General features: G+C 39.5%; 1 protein-coding gene across 105 annotated transcripts in view; it reads right to left on the bottom strand.

Moving 5' to 3' along the window:
• The window catches only part of UTY (ubiquitously transcribed tetratricopeptide repeat containing, Y-linked), a 246776-nt gene that overhangs the window by 17821 nt on the left and 210774 nt on the right, over positions 1-18181 (bottom strand). For all 105 annotated transcript variants that reach the window (NR_174404.1, NR_047613.1, NR_047627.1 and 102 more), the window contains one exon: positions 8563-8689. Coding sequence is in view for 50 of the 105 variants with exons in the window: in XM_011531448.4 (XP_011529750.1) it covers positions 8563-8689 (127 nt within the window). In the remaining 55 variants the exon portion in view is untranslated. Of the gene's footprint in view, positions 1-8562; positions 8690-18181 lie in introns of those variants that run through there.

Raw genomic sequence — 18181 nt, forward strand, 5'->3', positions numbered from 1 at the left:
ATTTTTCAAGATAATGAAACTGATAGGTGAATAACAAAAAGTGTTTTAAGCCTCATATTAAAAAAAGTACAAACAAAAGTGTATTCATGAACATTAATCTAACAAGAGAAAACATGTCTTTCAATTTCTTAGTCAAGCATCTTCAGACTTCTGCTTGATTTCTTCAGTTAAAAAAGCCAAATTGGCCGGGCGCGGTGGCTCACGCCTGTAATCCCAGCACTTTGGGAGGCCGAGGCGGGCGGATCACGAGGTCAGGAGATCGAGACCATCCCGGCTAAAACGGTGAAACCCCGTCTCTACTAAAAATACAAAAAATTAGCCGGGCGTAGTGGCGGGCGCCTGTAGTCCCAGCTACTTGGGAGGCTGAGGCAGGAGGATGGCGTGAACCCGGGAGGCGGAGCTTGCAGTGAGCCGAGATCCCGCCACTGCACTCCAGCCTGGGCGACAGAGCGAGACTCCGTCTCAAAAAAAAAAAAAAAAAAAAAGCCAAATCCTCATTATCTTAAGTCACTTTAAACAGCTGTTAAAATTCCTGAGTTCATGAAGCTCTCTATTACTATCAACAGGAGTAACAGTGCTCTAGCAAGCTAGGCAGCAAATTTAGGATTCTTCTACTTGTCATAATTCCCAGATTGGATCAACTGTGCTGGTAATTTTACAACTTAATAAACACTTTTGAACATCTCCCTTTTTTTTACATTCTTAAGGTTATGTTCTAGTCTAGGACTTTCATTAATACCTCCTAAGACCATTCTAATAGCGTCCACACTGACTTGTTTGCTTTCTATCTCCACTCTATCCAATTATCAGCTGTTGGGAGCAGGATCCCCAAAATCTGGCCATAAACTGGCCCCAAAACTGGCCATAAACAGAATCTCTGCAGCACTGTGACATGTTCATGATGGCCATTACGCCCATGCTGGACGACTGTGGGTTTACAGGAATGAGGGCAAGGAACACCTGGCCGGCCCAGGGTGGAAAACCACTTAAAGCCATTCTTAAGTCACAAACAATAGCATTAGCGATCTGTGCCTTAAGAACATGCTCCTGCTGCAGTTAACTAGCCCAACCTATTCCTTTAATTCAGCCCATCCCTTGATTTCCCATAAGGGATACTTTTAGTTAATTTTATATCTATACAAACAATGCTAATGACTGGCTTGCTGTTAATAAATATGTGGGTAAATCTCTGTTCGGGCTCTCAGCTGTGGAGGCTGTGAGACCCCTGATTTCCCACTTCACACCTCTATATTTCTGTGTGTGTCTTTAATCCCTCTATATAAGCTGGGTTAGGGCCTCCCCAACCAAGCTGGTCTCGGCAAGTGGTGCCCATTCGTGGGGGCTCGAATCCAGGTTGAAGGGACGATGGAGTGATGGTCGCAATGGAAAACTAGCTGGAGGACACCCGAGTACTCTTAAAGCAATCCCCGTGGTGAGTATGAAGGGGAGCTTGGAAGTATCAGGGTAACAACGAGACAAGTGTGGGGTGTGGTTCATTCCACCTTGGAACTTTTTCACACTGATCATGAGGAGGGAGAGTATAGTGAAATAACAGAAGAGGTTACAGAGCATGTTTATGTACCAGCTAAAGCTAAAGCGGCCAAGGAAGGTGAGGTTCATCCCTACCCTTCTGCACCCCCTATTATCTTGAAGAAAAAGACCCTCCAGATCTTTCTTTTCCAGAGGACACTGGGTGAAAAGTAGTTGCCCCAGTGACTGTTTGGGCAGCGCCTTGAGCAACCGCTCTTAGTTCTATTCAGGCGGGAATTCAGCAAGCTAGATGAGAGGGTGATATAGAGGCTTGGCAGTTCCCTGTTAGAATGCACCCCCTAGATCAACAGGGAAATATTATAGCTACATTTGAGCCTTTTCCTTTTAAATTACTCAAAGAATTTAAACAAGCTATAAATCAGTATGGACCAGGTTCTCCTTTTGTAATGGGACTACTGAAGAATGTTGCTGTTTTTAAAGAATGTTGCTGTTTTCAGTAGGATGAAAACTACTTACTTGTCTAACTCCTTACTCGAGCTTGTCTTACTCCTGCTTAGTTCTTACAATTTAAAACTTGGTGGGCAGATGAAGCTTCCATTCAGGCTGCTCACAATGCCCCGGCCCAACCTCAAATTAATGTAACTGCAGACCAGCTTTTGGGGGTTGGTGGCTGGGCTGGTTTAGATGCACAACTGGTCATGCGGGATGATGCCACAGAACAGCTTAGAGGAGTGTGCATTAGAGCTTGGGAAAAAATCACTTCAGGTGGGAAACAATACCCTGCCTTTAGTGCTATAAAACAGGGACCAAGAGAACCATATGTGGATTTTATAGCTTGGTTACAGGAGTCTCTTAAAAAGATGATTGCAGATTTGGCTGCTCAGTATATAGTGTTGCAGTAATCAGCTTTCGACAATGCTAATCCCAACTGCCAGGCTGCTCTGAGACCTATCAGAGGGAAAGCACATTTAGTTGATGATATCAAGGCCTGTGACAGTATCAGAGGTAATCTGCATAAAGCTACTTTGTTGGCACAGGCAATGGCAGGACTGAGAGTGGATAAAGGAAATACTCCATTTCCTGGAGCTTGTTTTAACTGTGGGAAGCACGGTCACACTAAAAAACAATGTAGAAAAAAATCAGCGAGTCAGGCTGCCAGACGGGAAAAAAGATAACTGCTGATCCTGAAATATGTCCAAAATGTAAAAAAGGAAAACATTGGGCTAATCATTGTCACTCTAAGTTTGATAAAGAAGGGAACCTGATTTCGGGAAACGCCATGAGAGGCCCATCCCAAGCCCTGTTCTAAACTGGGGCATTTCCAGCTCAGGCCATTCCCTTACCCCCATATAACGTCTGTCCCCCGCCACAGCTGGTAGTACTGCAGTAGATTTATGCTGCACAAAAGCTGTGAGCTTTCTGCCTCGGGAACCCCCTCAAAAGGTCAATAGGAGTCTGTGGACCCTTGCCAGTGGGGATAATAGGATTCCTTTTAGGAAGGTCTAGTTTAGGTTTAAAAGGGGTACAAATACATTAGTCATTGATTCAGATTACTAAGGGGAAATTCAAATTGTTATACCTACTTCTGTTCCCTGGAAAGCAGAGCCAGGAGAGCGTATAGCACAGCTCCTGATTGTGCCATATGTGGGAATGGGAAAAAGTGAAATTAAATGAACAGGAGGATTTGGAAGCACAAATAAACAAGGCAAAGCAGCTTATTTGGTGAATCAAATTACTGATAAACGTCCTACCTGTAAAGTAACTATTCAGGGAAGAGAATTTAAAGGTTTGGTAGATACAGGAGCGGACATTTCAATCATTTCTATACAGCACTGGCCATCCACGTGCCCAGTTCAAACCGCTCAATTTAACATAGTTGGACTTGGTAAAGTCCCTGTAGTATATCAAAGTAGTTATATTTTGCATTGTGAAGGGCCCGATGGACAACCTGGGGCTATTCAACCAATTATAACTTCTGTACCTATATATTTATGGGGAAGAGATTTATTACAACAATGGGGAGCACAAGTTCTAATTTCAGAACAATTATATAGCCCTCAAAGTCAACATACAATGCATAAAATGGGTTATGTCCCTGGTATGGGACTAGAAGAAAATTTGCAAGGTTTGAAAGAACCACTTCAAGTGGAAAGACAAAATTCTTGCCAAAGATTAGGAAATAATTTTTGATAGTGGCCATTGTTAAGCCTCTAGAACCTATACGTTTAAAATGGTTAACAGATAAGCCAATTTAGATAGAACAATGGCTGCTAAGTAAAGAGAAACTGGAGGCTTTAGAGAAATTAGTTACTGAACAATTAGAAAACAGGCACATAGCTCCAACATTTTCCCCTTCGAATTCTCCAGTTTTCCTAATTAAAAAAAGATCAGGTAAATGGAGAATGCTGACTTAAGAGCCATCAATTCAGTTATACAACCTGAGAGCATTACAGCCAGGATTGCCTTCTCCTGCTATAATTCCAAAAAATTGGCATTTAATAGTCACAGATTTAAAAGACTGTTTCTTTACTACCCCTTTAGCTGAGCAAGACTGAATGGTTTGCATTTACAATTTCTGCGGTAAACAACCTGCAGCCTAAGCGTTATCACTGGAAAGTGTTGTCACAAGGCATGTTAAACAGTCCAACAATTTGCCAGAAGTATGTAGGGCAAGCAATTGAACCTACTCGTAAAAAATTTTCAGTGTTATATTATGCACTATATGGATGATATCCTTTGTGCTGCCCCCACTCGAGAAATATTACTCCAATGTTATGATCACTTGCAAAATGTGATTTCTCATGCTGGCTTAATTAATAGCTCCTGACAAAATTCAGACTACTCCCTACTCCTACTTGGGGACCTTAGTAAATGACACTACCATTGTGCCACAGAAAGTAACCATATGTAGGGATCAATTTAAAACATTAAATTACTTTCAAAAATTACTAGAGGACATTAATTGGATACAACCTGCTCTAGGCATTGCTACCTATGCTATGAGTAATCTGTTTTCTATCCTTAGATGAAATCCTAGTCTCACTAGCCCTCAGCAATTAACAAAGGAGGCTGAGACAGAGTTACAAGTGACTGAGAAGCAAGTCAATAAAGCTCAAATAAATAGAATAGATCCAGAGAAGACTCTATATTTACAAATGTTTTCAACTCGGCATTCACCTACTGGTGTTATTGTCCAAGAACAGGACTTAGTAGAGTGGCTTTTTCTTCCACTTTTTCTTTCCATTTAGGAAAATGTCAATAATTTTCCTAAAACAAAGCTGTTTCAGTTTTTGAAATTAACTAATTGGATTCTCCCTAAAATAACTAAATTTAAACCAATTGAAGGTGCTGAGAATGTTTTCACAGATGGGTCTAGTAACGGTAAAGCTTCTTATTTTGGATTAAAAGGTAAAGTTTTCCAGACGCCCTATACTGCAGCTCAAAAAGTGGAGCTGGTAGCGGTAATTGAGGTATTGACTGCTTTTGATATGCCTGTTAGTATGATTTCTGATTCTACATACGTGGTTCATTCCACACAGTTAACTGAAAATGCTCAGTTACGACTTCATACAGATGAACAACTGATGACTTTATTTTCTCAACTGCAAACAGCAGTTAGAAGTAGAATGCACCCTTTTTACATCACTCACATTAGGGCTCATACGCCTCTTCCAGGACCTTTGAAGGGAATCAAATGGCTGATCACCTAGTTGCTAATGCAATATCTAATGCTAGACACTTTCACAATTTAACCCATGTTAATGCCTCTAGTCTCAAACACAGATACAGCATTACCTGGAAAGAAGCTAAAGCTATTATCCAGCGATGCCCAACTTGCCAAATGGTACATTCTTCATCTTTTACAGGAGGAGTTAATCCTTGAGGATTGGAACCTAACTCTCTTTCGCAAATGGATGTCACATGTTCCCTCGTTTGGGAAGCTAGCTTACGTACATGTATGCATGGACACCTTTTCTCACTTTGTCTGGGCTACATGCCAATCAGGAGAGTCTTCTGCCTGTGTTAAACGTCATCTTTTGCAGTGTTTTGCGGTGATGGGCATTCCAGCTTCTACTACAACAATAATGCCCCAGGTTATACTAGCCAAGCTCTAGCTACATTTTTCTCTATGTGGAATATTAAACGCATTACTGGTATCCCATACAATTCTCAAGGACAAGCCATAGTGGAAAGAATGAATCTCTCCCTAAAACAGCAGTTGCAAAAGCAGACTGAGGGAGACAGAGAATATGGAACCCCACAGATGCAACTGAATCTAGCATTATTAACTTTAAATTTTTTGAGCCTGCCCAAAGGCCAGATGTTATCAGCAGCTGAACAGCATCTACAGAAACCAGCTGTAAAGACAGAAGCAGAACAACTGATTTGGTGAAGAGATCTGATTACAAAAAGTTGGGAAATAGGTAAAATAATAACTTGGGGTAGAGGTTATGCTTGTGTTTCTCCAGGCCAAAATTACAGCCAATTCTGACACCATCAAGACACCTGAAACCTTATCATGAGCCAGATGCCGAGGAAGAGACTCCGGGAGGATCCTGAGGATCCCCCGGTTACAGCCATGTTGAGACTGACACTGAGGAGGACCCCAACTGTCATGAGCAACACCCGTCGAACACAGCCAACCCCCTGGGGACAGACCAAGAAGCTGTCATAGACGGCAGAAGAAAACCTGGGGAAAGCAGGACAACCAGTCACAATGAGTAATTTAATGGTAGCTATGATAGTGGTTATCATCACTGCTGTGAGTATTCCTTCAATAATGGCTGACACAGAGAACAATTATACTTACTGGGCATATTTATCAATCTTGGCTGGCAATAATGCCTGGATGCAATCACTCTATGACACAGTTACACACGCTTTCTGATCTCAGTATTTACCATAATAAATGTGCTCCTATAATTGAGGCATACTGCCCCCAAAAACTTATTTGTAAACACAATTGGATCTTGCCAGAAATAATGAACATACTTGTTTGGGAAGATTGCACTGCAGAACAGGCAGAGGTGCTGCACAACAATTCCTATGGAATCATCATTGATTGATCCACTGAGGGGATGTTTAGCTTGAATTGCACCTCTCAGTCTGTGTGCCATGGCCACACTATGTTCAGCTGGTCTGAACAAAACGGTCAGATGGTAGTGATGATAAGAAGTACACCAAAAGTTCCTATTATCTGGAACTATGGCAGTATAGTGGCACCTCAACCTCAAATGATATGGCTCATTGTAGGAGCTAAACATAAGGATTTGTAGAAACTATTAATAGCTCTTAATAAGATCAAAATTTGGGAAAGAATAAAAAAGCATCTAGAAAGACACTCTACAAACTTGTCTTTGGATATTGCAAAATTAAAGAACGAATATTTAAAACATCCCAGGCACACCTGACCTTAATGCCAGGAACTGGAGTGCTTAAAAGCTGCAGACAGATTAGCAGCTGGTAACCCATTAAAATGGATCAAAACACTGGGAAGCTTTGTGACTTCAATGATGATTATGCTTTTAATCTGTGTTGTTTGTCTTTGTCTAGTCTGCAGATGTGGATCCTGACTCCTGCGAGAAATAGCTCACTGTGACAAAGCTGCCCTTGCTTTTATTGATTTGCAAATCAAAGGAGGGGGACATGTTGGGAGCAGGCCCCCTAAACCTGGTCATAAACTGGCCCCAAAACTGGCCAGAAGCAGAATCTCTGCAGCATTGTGACATGTTCATGATGGCCACAACACCCACGCTGGAAGACTGTGGATTTACGGGAATGAGGGCAAGGAACGCCTGGCCCACCCAGGGTGGAAAACCGCTTAAAGGCATTCTTAAGCCACAAACAATAGCATTAGTGATCTGTGCCTTAAGGACATGCTCCTGCTGCAGTTAACTAGCCCAACCTATTCCTTTAATTCGGCCCATCCCTTCGTTTCCCATAAGAGATACTTTTAGTTAAGTTAATATCCATAGAAACAATGCTAATGACTGGCTTGCTGTTAATAAATACGTGGGTAAATCTCTGTTCGAGGCTTTCAGCTCTGAAGGCTGTGAGGCCCCTGATTTCCCACTTCACATCTCTGTATTTCTGTCTGTGTGTCTTTAATTCCTCTATGTAAGCTGGGTCAGGGTCTCCCCAGCCGAGCTAGACTCGGCAATCAACCACCGTTTTTTCTGAAACACATAACATAGTCCTCTGCTCAGAAACTTAAAAGTTTTCGTTTATGTCAGGATATATATCATATTCCTTAAAATGAATCAAGATGATTTGCAAACTACAGACACAGCCTACCCTGATGGACTTTAAGAATTTGCCATCTACTTTCCAGCCACATTGAAATAATTAATTACCCTTTACTGAATACACTACTCCTTTTCCCATCCAATGTTCATAAAGCCTAATGATGTTCTATAAATCTCCAATTATTGCTATTTTTGTCTGCTGCAATCAGAATATTCTTCAAGAACTCAAATGTTAAGTTTGTGTGCTTGCAAGGAGAAAAACAGCAGAAAAATAATTTTCCTCAGTGTTTCTGTAGTAGTTTGTATTTATATTTAACCTCATATTCATCAGTTAGATGTGCATTACAATGTGTTGTTTATAGTTTGCCTCTGCAAGCAGAATGTAAACTTCTCCAGGGCAAGCAACACATGCTTATTCTGCACATCTTGTAAGCCTTAGTCAGAAGAGAAAAGTCAATAATGATTTATGAAATGAACCAGAAAGGACTTCATCCTGATCTGCCTGAATATTGAATTAAATCCTGTTTGTAGGCATCTGTGTACTTGCTATAGACTCTTCCTAGTTTAAAGTGAGATGATTATCATTTGGATAAGGATTTACTAAATAAATTCTTTATTTAGTAGATCTCCTTTATTTAGGAGATACTTTTAATAGATCTAGTTAGTGAAATATTGTATCAGATGAGAACTTAGCCTAATAGTTTTAATAGTCAATTTCAATCAAAAGCATTACATAAAAGTATAGGTAAATTTAAAATAAAGCAACAACAATTCAAAACCTAGAGAATCCAAAACAAAACAACTATCAGTAGAAACAGTTACTCACCTCACAAATGCTACAGTAATGAGCTGGTTCATCATTTGTCCGCCCATGCCATATAACCTCTTTTCCTGCTGCAACAAGAGCTTCTCTCAATGTCTGATATTGCTTCAGAATTTTCAAAAGACAATACCTATTGTGGGAAAAAACTATTTGTGAGAGTAACTACTGAATATTTTACATAAAAGGTATACCAATTAGAAATAACTTTGTGAATCTGGGTTCTAAAGTCTATTCACATGGTAATTTTTCTTTTCCTCAAATTTTCAAATGTGCATGCTGGACGATGACAATATTAAAATATTTAAAGTTGAGAATAACTGACATTTGACTATAAAAATGCAATGATCATAATCTACAATAAACTCATCCCTAATTAAAGATATATTATTTATTTGGGCTCTAATTTGGACAAGTAAAATAACTTTTGTAAGAGTCAACTTCTTCATCTTTGAAATAAAAGTTCAGAATTACAGGTTGGAATTTTTATGATTATAGAAAGGCAAGAAGGTTGCCTATACCCTCACAAGCAGTTATATAATAGATTTTAAAACTTTGGCACCACAGCAGATAATTATCTATGAATATGGTCACTACAAGATACAAAGTTAGTTCCAATATAATAACAAAGAAAAAAAAGTATTACTTGCTGAATTTTAATTTGAAAATGGTATAGTAGAATCCTTCATTATTATTCACACTGACTTTTCTTATAATTTATACCTTTCCTACACATACTTGTGAGGATAACAATATATTGCAAACAATTACAAATACTGCTGATTTTCCTGTAATTTGCTGTCACTGCTCAAAACTGCCTGCTAAAGTTTCTGTGAATCTAAGTTTTTCAAAGCAGAGGTGGTATAGGTGATACTCTAAGGCACATTTCAACTCTAAACTTATCTTAGAAAGCATGATATGGGTTTAATAAAAATGCCATTAACACCTTTTGTAAACATATAACCTCCTGGAATCAGGAGAGTCTGAGCTAATTTGGAGCTTGTTGCTCTGTTACACTACAGATACGGACTTGAAATTATCAGTATATGGATTACATACCAAATATTTGGGGGGAAAATGATCATATTATCAGTATGTAAAATTATTTTCCACATCTGTTTATTATCTTTCTTTCCCATGAGTGTAAGCATCATGAGCATGAGGCTTTATCTGTTTTAGTTTTGTAAACTGTTGTGGGACTAAATAACAACAGTTAAATTTTACAATATACATTAAGTTTTATATAAATTTAAATTTACGTAAAATTTTACAATATACATTAATGGCAGTTTTAATTTCCTTCATTTATATTTTCTTGCCATTTGTTACTTGCCAGGTTAAACTATTACTTGTTATGTTTCTTTTCCTTACTTTTTAAATCAGAATTCCTCCTATAAGTAACCCTGGGGCAAAATCATTAGGGATATTACATACAAAATATGCTAACTTATTTTAAAACATAAGTACAGCAATATAAGCCTAATGTGGCACGACAAATTCCTTAAGTATCATATAAAATACATAATTTTCAGTTTGCCTTTAGCAATTATGCCTACTTAGAAACAATGCCATATTTCTGTCTATATTTGAATTTCACCAGGAAAGTCTTATTGTGAGTTTTTGTGTGTATGAAAGATGTGCCAGGGGAGACAAGTAAAAAATTCAGTTCCTGTCAAAAAGTAAGAATATAAACCACACTGGATCTGTGGCACCTACTGATGTCTTCCTGCCATCCCTCTTCTACATGATTTCACTTCTGGGTATAGGGATATTACTGCATATGTTTTCAAAATAGTGCTTCAAAACATGTCATATTTCACAAGAAAATAATGCCTCAAATTTTATGAATTTGTGTTTTTGCAAATTCAACCGTGTTTCCAAATGAGAAAATAAACTGCCACAAAGAGGCAGCAATCATGAAGGCTTAGTACCATACACAAGACATGGAATTGGTACTTTACATTAGATATGCCACACAATTCTCGTAACAGCTCAGTGCAAGAAGCATCCATACCCATTTTACTAAGTGGGAAATGTGGGAGTCAAAAAGGTAAAGTTTGCATGATGTTACAAGGCTATTTAATTAGGGATTAGGGATTTCCAAACTAAGTAATTTCAGGCTTCCTCTTACTATGTCTTCCATACTCTCTTCTGCTCACCATCTGTCAATTTTTGTACCTACTCACCCCACCACCCTGTGCCATTGTCATGAAGATAAAATCCTTGGGGCTAAAACAACATTACGTTCCCCCAAATAATGAGGGTTAGTTTTTTCTTTTTTTAGATGGAGTTTTTTTTTTTTTTTTTTTTGAGATGGAGTTTCGCTCTTGTTACCCAGGCTGGAGCGAAATGGCGTGATCTTGGCTCATGCAACCTCTGCCTCCTGGGCTCAAGCAACACTCCTGCCTCAGGCTCCCAAGTAGTTGCGATTACAGGTGCCCGCCACCATGCCCAGTGAATTTCTGTATTTTTAGTAAAAACGGGGTTGCACAATGTTGGCCAGGCTGGTCTCAAACTCCTGACCTCAGGTGATCTGCTTGCCTTGGTCTCCCAAAATGCTGGGATTACAGGCGTGAGCCACCATACGTGACCATAATGAAGCTTATTCTGTGCAATCAGTTTGGTTCTATTTGTTTCTCAACAGATGAACTTTCATTTCCAGTAATTCTCATTATTTTGACAATTACATCACAGTTTTTATTGTATTACTTTATACTCAGTTTTGAAATTTCATATAAAAACGAGGCAAAACACTACAAAGGAATAGCGCTTTGTTGCTAGAAGTAAACACTAAGAATGAATAGTATTTCTATAGACACTACAGAAACAAATAGCTGAATATTACTAATATAAAATAATAATATTGTCATTATATATTACAACAGCCATTCCAGAAGGAGACTCTCTGGAATGATGGTGGAGAATTATAAGACCCAAAAGTGAAATCTTAAAAGCTGACTGCTGTTATATTAACAATATTGAATAACTCAATTGTGATTGCTCCATGTTCTGATGTATTCTCCTTCAAAGAAATTTTTATTGCTTACCAATTCAGAAGGCAGCAGTAGGAAATGAATAAAGAACAACAACAATTTTGAGAGGTAGAGGCTTTTAAGGAGACCACATAAATGAGAATCTGATTCAATTAAAGGGCATGGAAGAATACATAGAAAGTAATAGTATTAAGGGAAAGAATATTTAAAAGATTCAAGATAAATTTCAAGACTTGTTTTAACATAAACTGTCTGCTTTGGCTAATCCTTGAAACAGATTTCATCTGAAGAGAACTGAATGGCTTATAAAGAGTCACAAAAATGTAGTGTTGACATTTCTTCCTTTTGCTCAATTTGAATAGATTTACCCTATAACAATTACAAATTCAATTTAAAAAATATAAAGGAAGGGAAATGAATAGGCATATTGTGGCCTTCTGTTAAGGCATAACACACCAGGAATACTGAGACGCCTAAAAGGCCACAGGATTTAGACAAAATCACTTTGTTAAAGTTATATATTTTACAATAATCTGCTCTGAAGAAAAGTGGGAAAAAAATAGAAGCTGGCTGGTTACATAGGTACACACATGCCATGGTGGTTGGCTGCACACATCAACCGGTCACCTACATTAGGTATTTATCCTAATGCTATTCCTCCCCTAACCCCCCACTCCCGACAGGCCCTGGTGTGTGATGTTCCCCTCCGTGTCCATGTGATCTCAATGTTCAACTCCCACTTAGGAGTGAGAACACGCAGTGTTTGGTTTTCTGTTCTTGTGTTAGTTTGCTGAGAATGATGGTTCCCAGCTTCATTCATGTAACTGTAAAGGGCATGAACTAATCCTTTTTTTTGGCTGCACAGTATTTCATGGTGTGTATGTGCCACGTTTTCTTTATCCAGACTATTATTGATGGGCATGTGGGTTGGTTCCAAGTCTTTGTTATTGTGAACAGTGCTGCAATAAATATATGTGCATGTGTTTTTACAATAGAATAATTTATAATCCTTTGGGTATGTACCCAGTAATGGAATTGTTGGGTCAAATAGTATTTATCATTCTAGATCCTTGAGGAACCACCACACTGTTTTCCACAATGGCTGAACTAATTTACACTCCCGCCAACAGTATAAAAACGTTTCTATTTCTCCACCTACTTGTGAGCATCGGTTGTTTCCTGACTTTTTAATGATCACCATTCTACGCGGTGTGAGATGGTATCTCACTGTGGTTTTGATTTGCATTTCTCTAATGATCAGTGATGATAAGCTTTTTTTCATGTCTGTTGGCCACATATCTTTTGAAAAGTCTCTGTTTATATCCTTAGCCCACTTTTTGAAGTTTTTTTTTCTTGTAAATTTGTAAAGTTCCTTGTAGATTCCAGATATTAGCCCTTTGTCAGATGGATAGATTGCAAAAATTTTTCTCCCATTCTGTAGGATGCCTATTGATTTTGCTGTGGAGAAAACTCTTTAGTTTAATTAGATCCCATTTGTCAATTTTGACTTTTGTTGACATTGCTTTTGGTGTTTTAGTCATAAAGTCTTTGCCCATGCCTATGTCCTGAATGGTATTGCCTAGGTTTTCTTCCAGGGTTTTTATGGTTTTTGGTCTTACGTTTAAGTCTTTAATCCATATGAGTTAATTTTGTATAAGGTGTAAAAAAGGGGTCCAGTTTCAGTTTTCTGCATATGGCTAGCCAGTTTTCCCAACACCATTTATTAAATAGGGCATACTTCCCTTATTGCTTGTTTTTGTCAGGTGTGTCAAGATCAGATGGTTGTAGATGTGAGGCGTTATTTCTGAGGCTTCTGTTCGGTTTCATTCATCTATGTATCTGTTTTGGTACCAGTACCATGCTGTTTTGGTTACTGTAGCCTTGTAGTATAGTTCAAAGTCAGGTAGTGTGATGTTTCCAGCTTTGTTCTTTTTGCTTAGGATTGCCTTGGCTATGTGGGCTATTTTTTGGTTCCGTATAAAATTTACAAGTAGTTTTTTCTAATTCTGTGAAGAAAGTCAGTGGTAGCTTGATGGGGATAGCACTGAAGCTATAAATTAATTTGGGCAGTATGGCCATTTTCTCAATGTTGATTCTTCCTATCCATGAGCATCGAATGTTTTTCCATTTGTTTGTGTCCTCTCTTATTCCGTTAAGCACTGGTTTTGTAGTTCTACTTGAAGAGGTCCTTCACATCCCTTGTAAGTTGTATTCCTAGGTATTAAATTCTCTTTGTAGCCGTTGTGAATGGGGAGTTCATTCATGATTTGGCTCTCTATTACTGGTGTACAGGAATGCCTGTATTTTTGCACATTGACTTTTCTTTCCTGAAACTTTGCTGAAGTTGCTTATCAGCTTTGGGAGATTTGGGGCTGAGATGATGGGGTTTTCTAAATATACAATCATGTCATCTGCAAACAGAGACAATTTGACTTCCTCTTTTCCAAACTGAATACCCTTTATTTCTTTCTCCTGCCTGATTGCCCTGGCCAGAACTTCCAACCCTATGTTGAATAGGAGTGGTGAGAGAGGGCATCCTTGTCTTGTGCTGGTTTTCAAAGGGAATGCTTCCAGTTTTTGGTCATTCAGTATGATATTGCTCATTCAGTTTATCATAAATAGCTCGATTATTTTGAGATACGTTCCATCAATACCTCGTTTACTGGGAGTTGTGAAGGGGTGTTGAATTTTGTTGAAGGCCTTTTCTGCATTTATTGAGATAATCATGTGTTTTTTGTCATTGGTTCTTTTATGTGATGGATTACGTTTATTGATTTGTGTATGTTGGCCGGGCGCGGTGGCTCACGCTTTCAGAAAGAATGGTACCAGCTCCTCTTTGTACCTCTGATAGAATTTGGCTGTGAATTTGTCTGGTGCTGAGTTTTTTTTGGTTGATAGGGTATTAATTACTGCCTCAATTTCAGAACTTGTTATTGGTCTATTCATGGATTCGATTTTCTTCCTGATTTAGTCTTGGGAGGGTGTATATGTCCAGGAATTTATTCCTTTTTTCTAGATTTTCTAGTTTATTTGCATAGAGGTGTTTATAGTATTCTCTGATTGTGGTTTGCATTTCTATGGGATCAGCGGTGATCTCCCCTTTATCATTATTTATTGCATCTATCTGATTCTTTTTCCTTATTAGTCTGGATAGTGGTCTATTTTATGGATCTTTTCAAAAAATCAGCTCCTGGATTCATTAATTTTTTGAAGAGTTTTTTGTGTTTCTATCTTCTTTAGTCCTGCTGTGAAGTTCCCGCCTTAGTTACTTCTTGTCTTCTGCTGGCTTTTGAATTTGTTTGCTCTTGCTTCTCTAGTTCTTTAATTGTGATGTTAGTGTGTTGAAGTTAGATTTTTCCTGCTTTCTCCTGTGGGTATTCAGTGCTAAAAATTTCCCTCTATACAACGCTTTAGCTGTGTCCCAGAGATTCTGGTATGTTGTGCCTTTGTTCTCATTGGTTTCAAAGAACTTCTTTATTTTTTTCCTTAATTTCGTTATTTACCCAGTAGTCATTCAGGAACAGGTTGTTCAGTTTCCATGTATTTGTGGGGTTTTGAGTGAGTTTCTAAAACCTGAGTTCTAATTTGATTGCACTGTGGTCTCAGAGACTGTTAAGATTTCCATTCTTTTTCATTTTCTGAGGTGTGTTTTACTTTCAATTATGTGGTCAGTTTCAAAGTAAGTGCAATGTGGTGCTGAGAAGAATGTATATTCTGTTGATTTGGGGTGGAGAGTTCCATAGATGTCTGTTAGGTCTGCTTGGTCCAGAGCTGAGTTCAAAGTCCGGAATATCCTTGTTAATTTTCTGTCTTGGTGATCTAATACTGACAGTGGGGTATTAAGGCCTTCCACTATTACTGTCACTACTATTATTGTGTGGGAATCTAAGTCTCTTTGTAGGTCTCTAAGAACTTACTTTATAAATCCAGGTGCTCTTGTATTGGCTGTATATATATGTAGGAAAGTTAGCTCTTCTGGTTGCATTGATCCCTTTACCAATATGTAATGCCCTTCTTTCTTTCTTTTGATCTTTGTTGGTTTAAAGTCTGTTTTATCAGAGACTAGGATTGCAACCCCTCCTTTTATCTGATTTCCATTTGTTTGCTAAATCTTCCTCCATCTCTCTCTTTTTTTTTGATCCTAAGTGTGTCTCAGCACAGGAGATGGGTTCTCCTGAATACAGCACACTGATAGGTCTTGACTGTCTATCCAATTTGCCAGTCTGTGTCTTTTTAATTGGGACATTTAGTCCACTATCATTTAAGGTTAATATTGTTATGTGTGAATTTGATCCTGTCATTATAATGCTAGCCCATTTAGTTAATGCAGTTTCTTCATAGTGTCGATGGTCTACAGAATTTGGTATGTTTTCGCAGTGGTTAGTTCCAGTTGTTCCTTTCTATATTTAGTGCTTCCTTCGGGAGCTCTTTTAAGGCAGGCCTGGTGGTGACAAAATCTCTCAGCATTTGCTTGTTTGTAAATGATTCTGTTTTCTCCCTTGCTTATGAAGCTTAGTTTGGCTGGATATGAAATTCTGTGGATATGAAATTCTGTGAAAACTACTTAAGAACGTTGAATATTGGCCCCCACTCTCTTTTGGCTCATAGGGTTTCTGCAGAGAGATCCAATGTTAGTCTGATGGGATTCTCTTTGTGGGTAACCTGACCATTCTCTGTGGCTGCCCTTAACATTTTTTCCTTCATTTCAACCTTGGTGAATCTGATGATTATGTGTCTTGGGGTTGCTCTCTCGAAGAGTATCTTTGTGGTGTTCTCTGGGTATTTCCTGAATTTGAATGTTGGGCTGTCTTGCTAGCTTGGAGAAGTTCTCCTGGATAATATCCTGGAGAGTGTTTTACAACTTGGTTCCACTCTCCCCCGTCACTTTCAGGTGTATCAATCAAATGTATGTTCGGTCTTTTCACATAGTCCCATATTTCTTGCAGACTTTGTTTATTCCTTTTCATTCTTTTTTCTCTAATCTTGCCTTCACATGTTATTTCATTAAGTTGTTTTCAATCTCTGATATGATTTCTTCCACTTGATCGATTCAGCTATTGATATTTGTGTAAGCTTCACGAAGTTCCCGTGCTGTGTTTTTCAGCTCCATCAGGTCACTTATGTTCTTCTTTAAACTGGTTGTTCTTGTTAGCAATTCGTCTAACCTTTTTTCAAGGTTCTTAGCTTCCTTGCTTTGGGTTAGAATATGCTCCTTTAGCTCACAGGAATTTGTTATTACCCACCTTCTGAAGCCTACTTCTGTCAGTTCATCAAACTCATGCTCTGTCCAGTTTTGTTCCCTTGCTGGTGAGGAGCTGTGATCCTTTGGAGGAGAAGAGGTGTTCTGGTTTTTGGAATTTTCAGCCTTTTTGGGCTGGTTTTTCCTCGTCTTCACTGATTTATCTAATTTTGATCTTTGATGTTGGTCACCTTCAGATGGGGTTTCTGTTTGGATGTTCTTTTTGTTGATGTTGATGCTATTCCTTTCTGCTTGTTAGTTTTCCTTCTAATATTCACCTCTGTTGCAGGTTTGCTGGAGTTTGCTGGAGGTCCACTCCAGACCTTGTTCACCTGGGTATCACCAGCGAAGGCTGCAGAACAGCAAAGACTGCTGCCTGCTCCTTCCTCTGGAAGCTTTGTCCCAGAGCGGCACTCATCAGATGCCAGCTGGAGCTCTGCTCTATGAAATGTCTGTCAATCCCTGCTGGGAGGTGTCTCCTAGTCAGGAGGCATGGGGTTCAGGGACCTACTTGGGGAGGCAGTCTATCCCTTAGCAGAGCTTGAGCACTGTGCTGGGAGATCTGCTGGTCTCTTCAGAGCCAACTGGCAGGGAACTGTTTAAGTGTGCCACCCCTTCCCCCAGGTGCTATGTCCCAGTGAGATGGGAGTTCTATCTATAAGCCCCTGATTGGTGTTGCTGCCTTTCTTTCAGAGATGCCCTGCCCAGAGAGGAGGAATCTAGAGAGGCAGTCTATAGCGGCTTTGTCGAGCTGCAGTGGATTCTGTCCATTCTGACCTTTCCAGAGGCTTTGTTTACGCTGTGAGGGGAAAACTGCCTACTCAAGCCTCAGTAATGGCAGACACCCCTCCCCACACCAAGCTCCAGTGTCCCAGGTTTACTTCAGACTGCTGTGCTGGCAGCGAGAATTTCAAGCCAGTGGATCTTAGCTTCCTGGGCTCCATGGGCTCTGCTAAGCTAGACGACTTGACTCCCTGGCTTCAGCCCCCTTTCCAGGGGATTGAACTGTTTTGTCTTGGTGGCCCTTCCAGGCTCCACTGTGGGCATGAAAAACAAAACAAAACAAAACAAAACAAAACAAAACAAAACAAAACAAAACAAAACAAAAAAAAACTGCAGCTAGCTCAGTGTCTGCCCAAATGGCCGCCCAGTTTTGTGCTTGAAACCCAGGGCCCTGGTGGTGTAGGCACCTGAGGGAATCCTCTGGGTCTGTGGGTTGAAGATTGAGAAAAGCATAGTATCTGAGCCAAGTGCATGATTCCTCATGGTACAGTCCCTCACGGCTTCCCTTGGCTCAGCAAGGGAGTTCCCTGACCCCTTCCCGGATGAGGCAACGCCCCACTCTGCTTTGGCTCCGCCTCTGTGGGCTGCACCCCCTTTCTAACCAGTCCCA

The sequence above is a fragment of the Homo sapiens genome, chromosome Y (assembly GCF_000001405.40).
Source record: "Homo sapiens chromosome Y, GRCh38.p14 Primary Assembly".
NCBI classification, from domain to species: domain Eukaryota; kingdom Metazoa; phylum Chordata; class Mammalia; order Primates; family Hominidae; genus Homo; species Homo sapiens.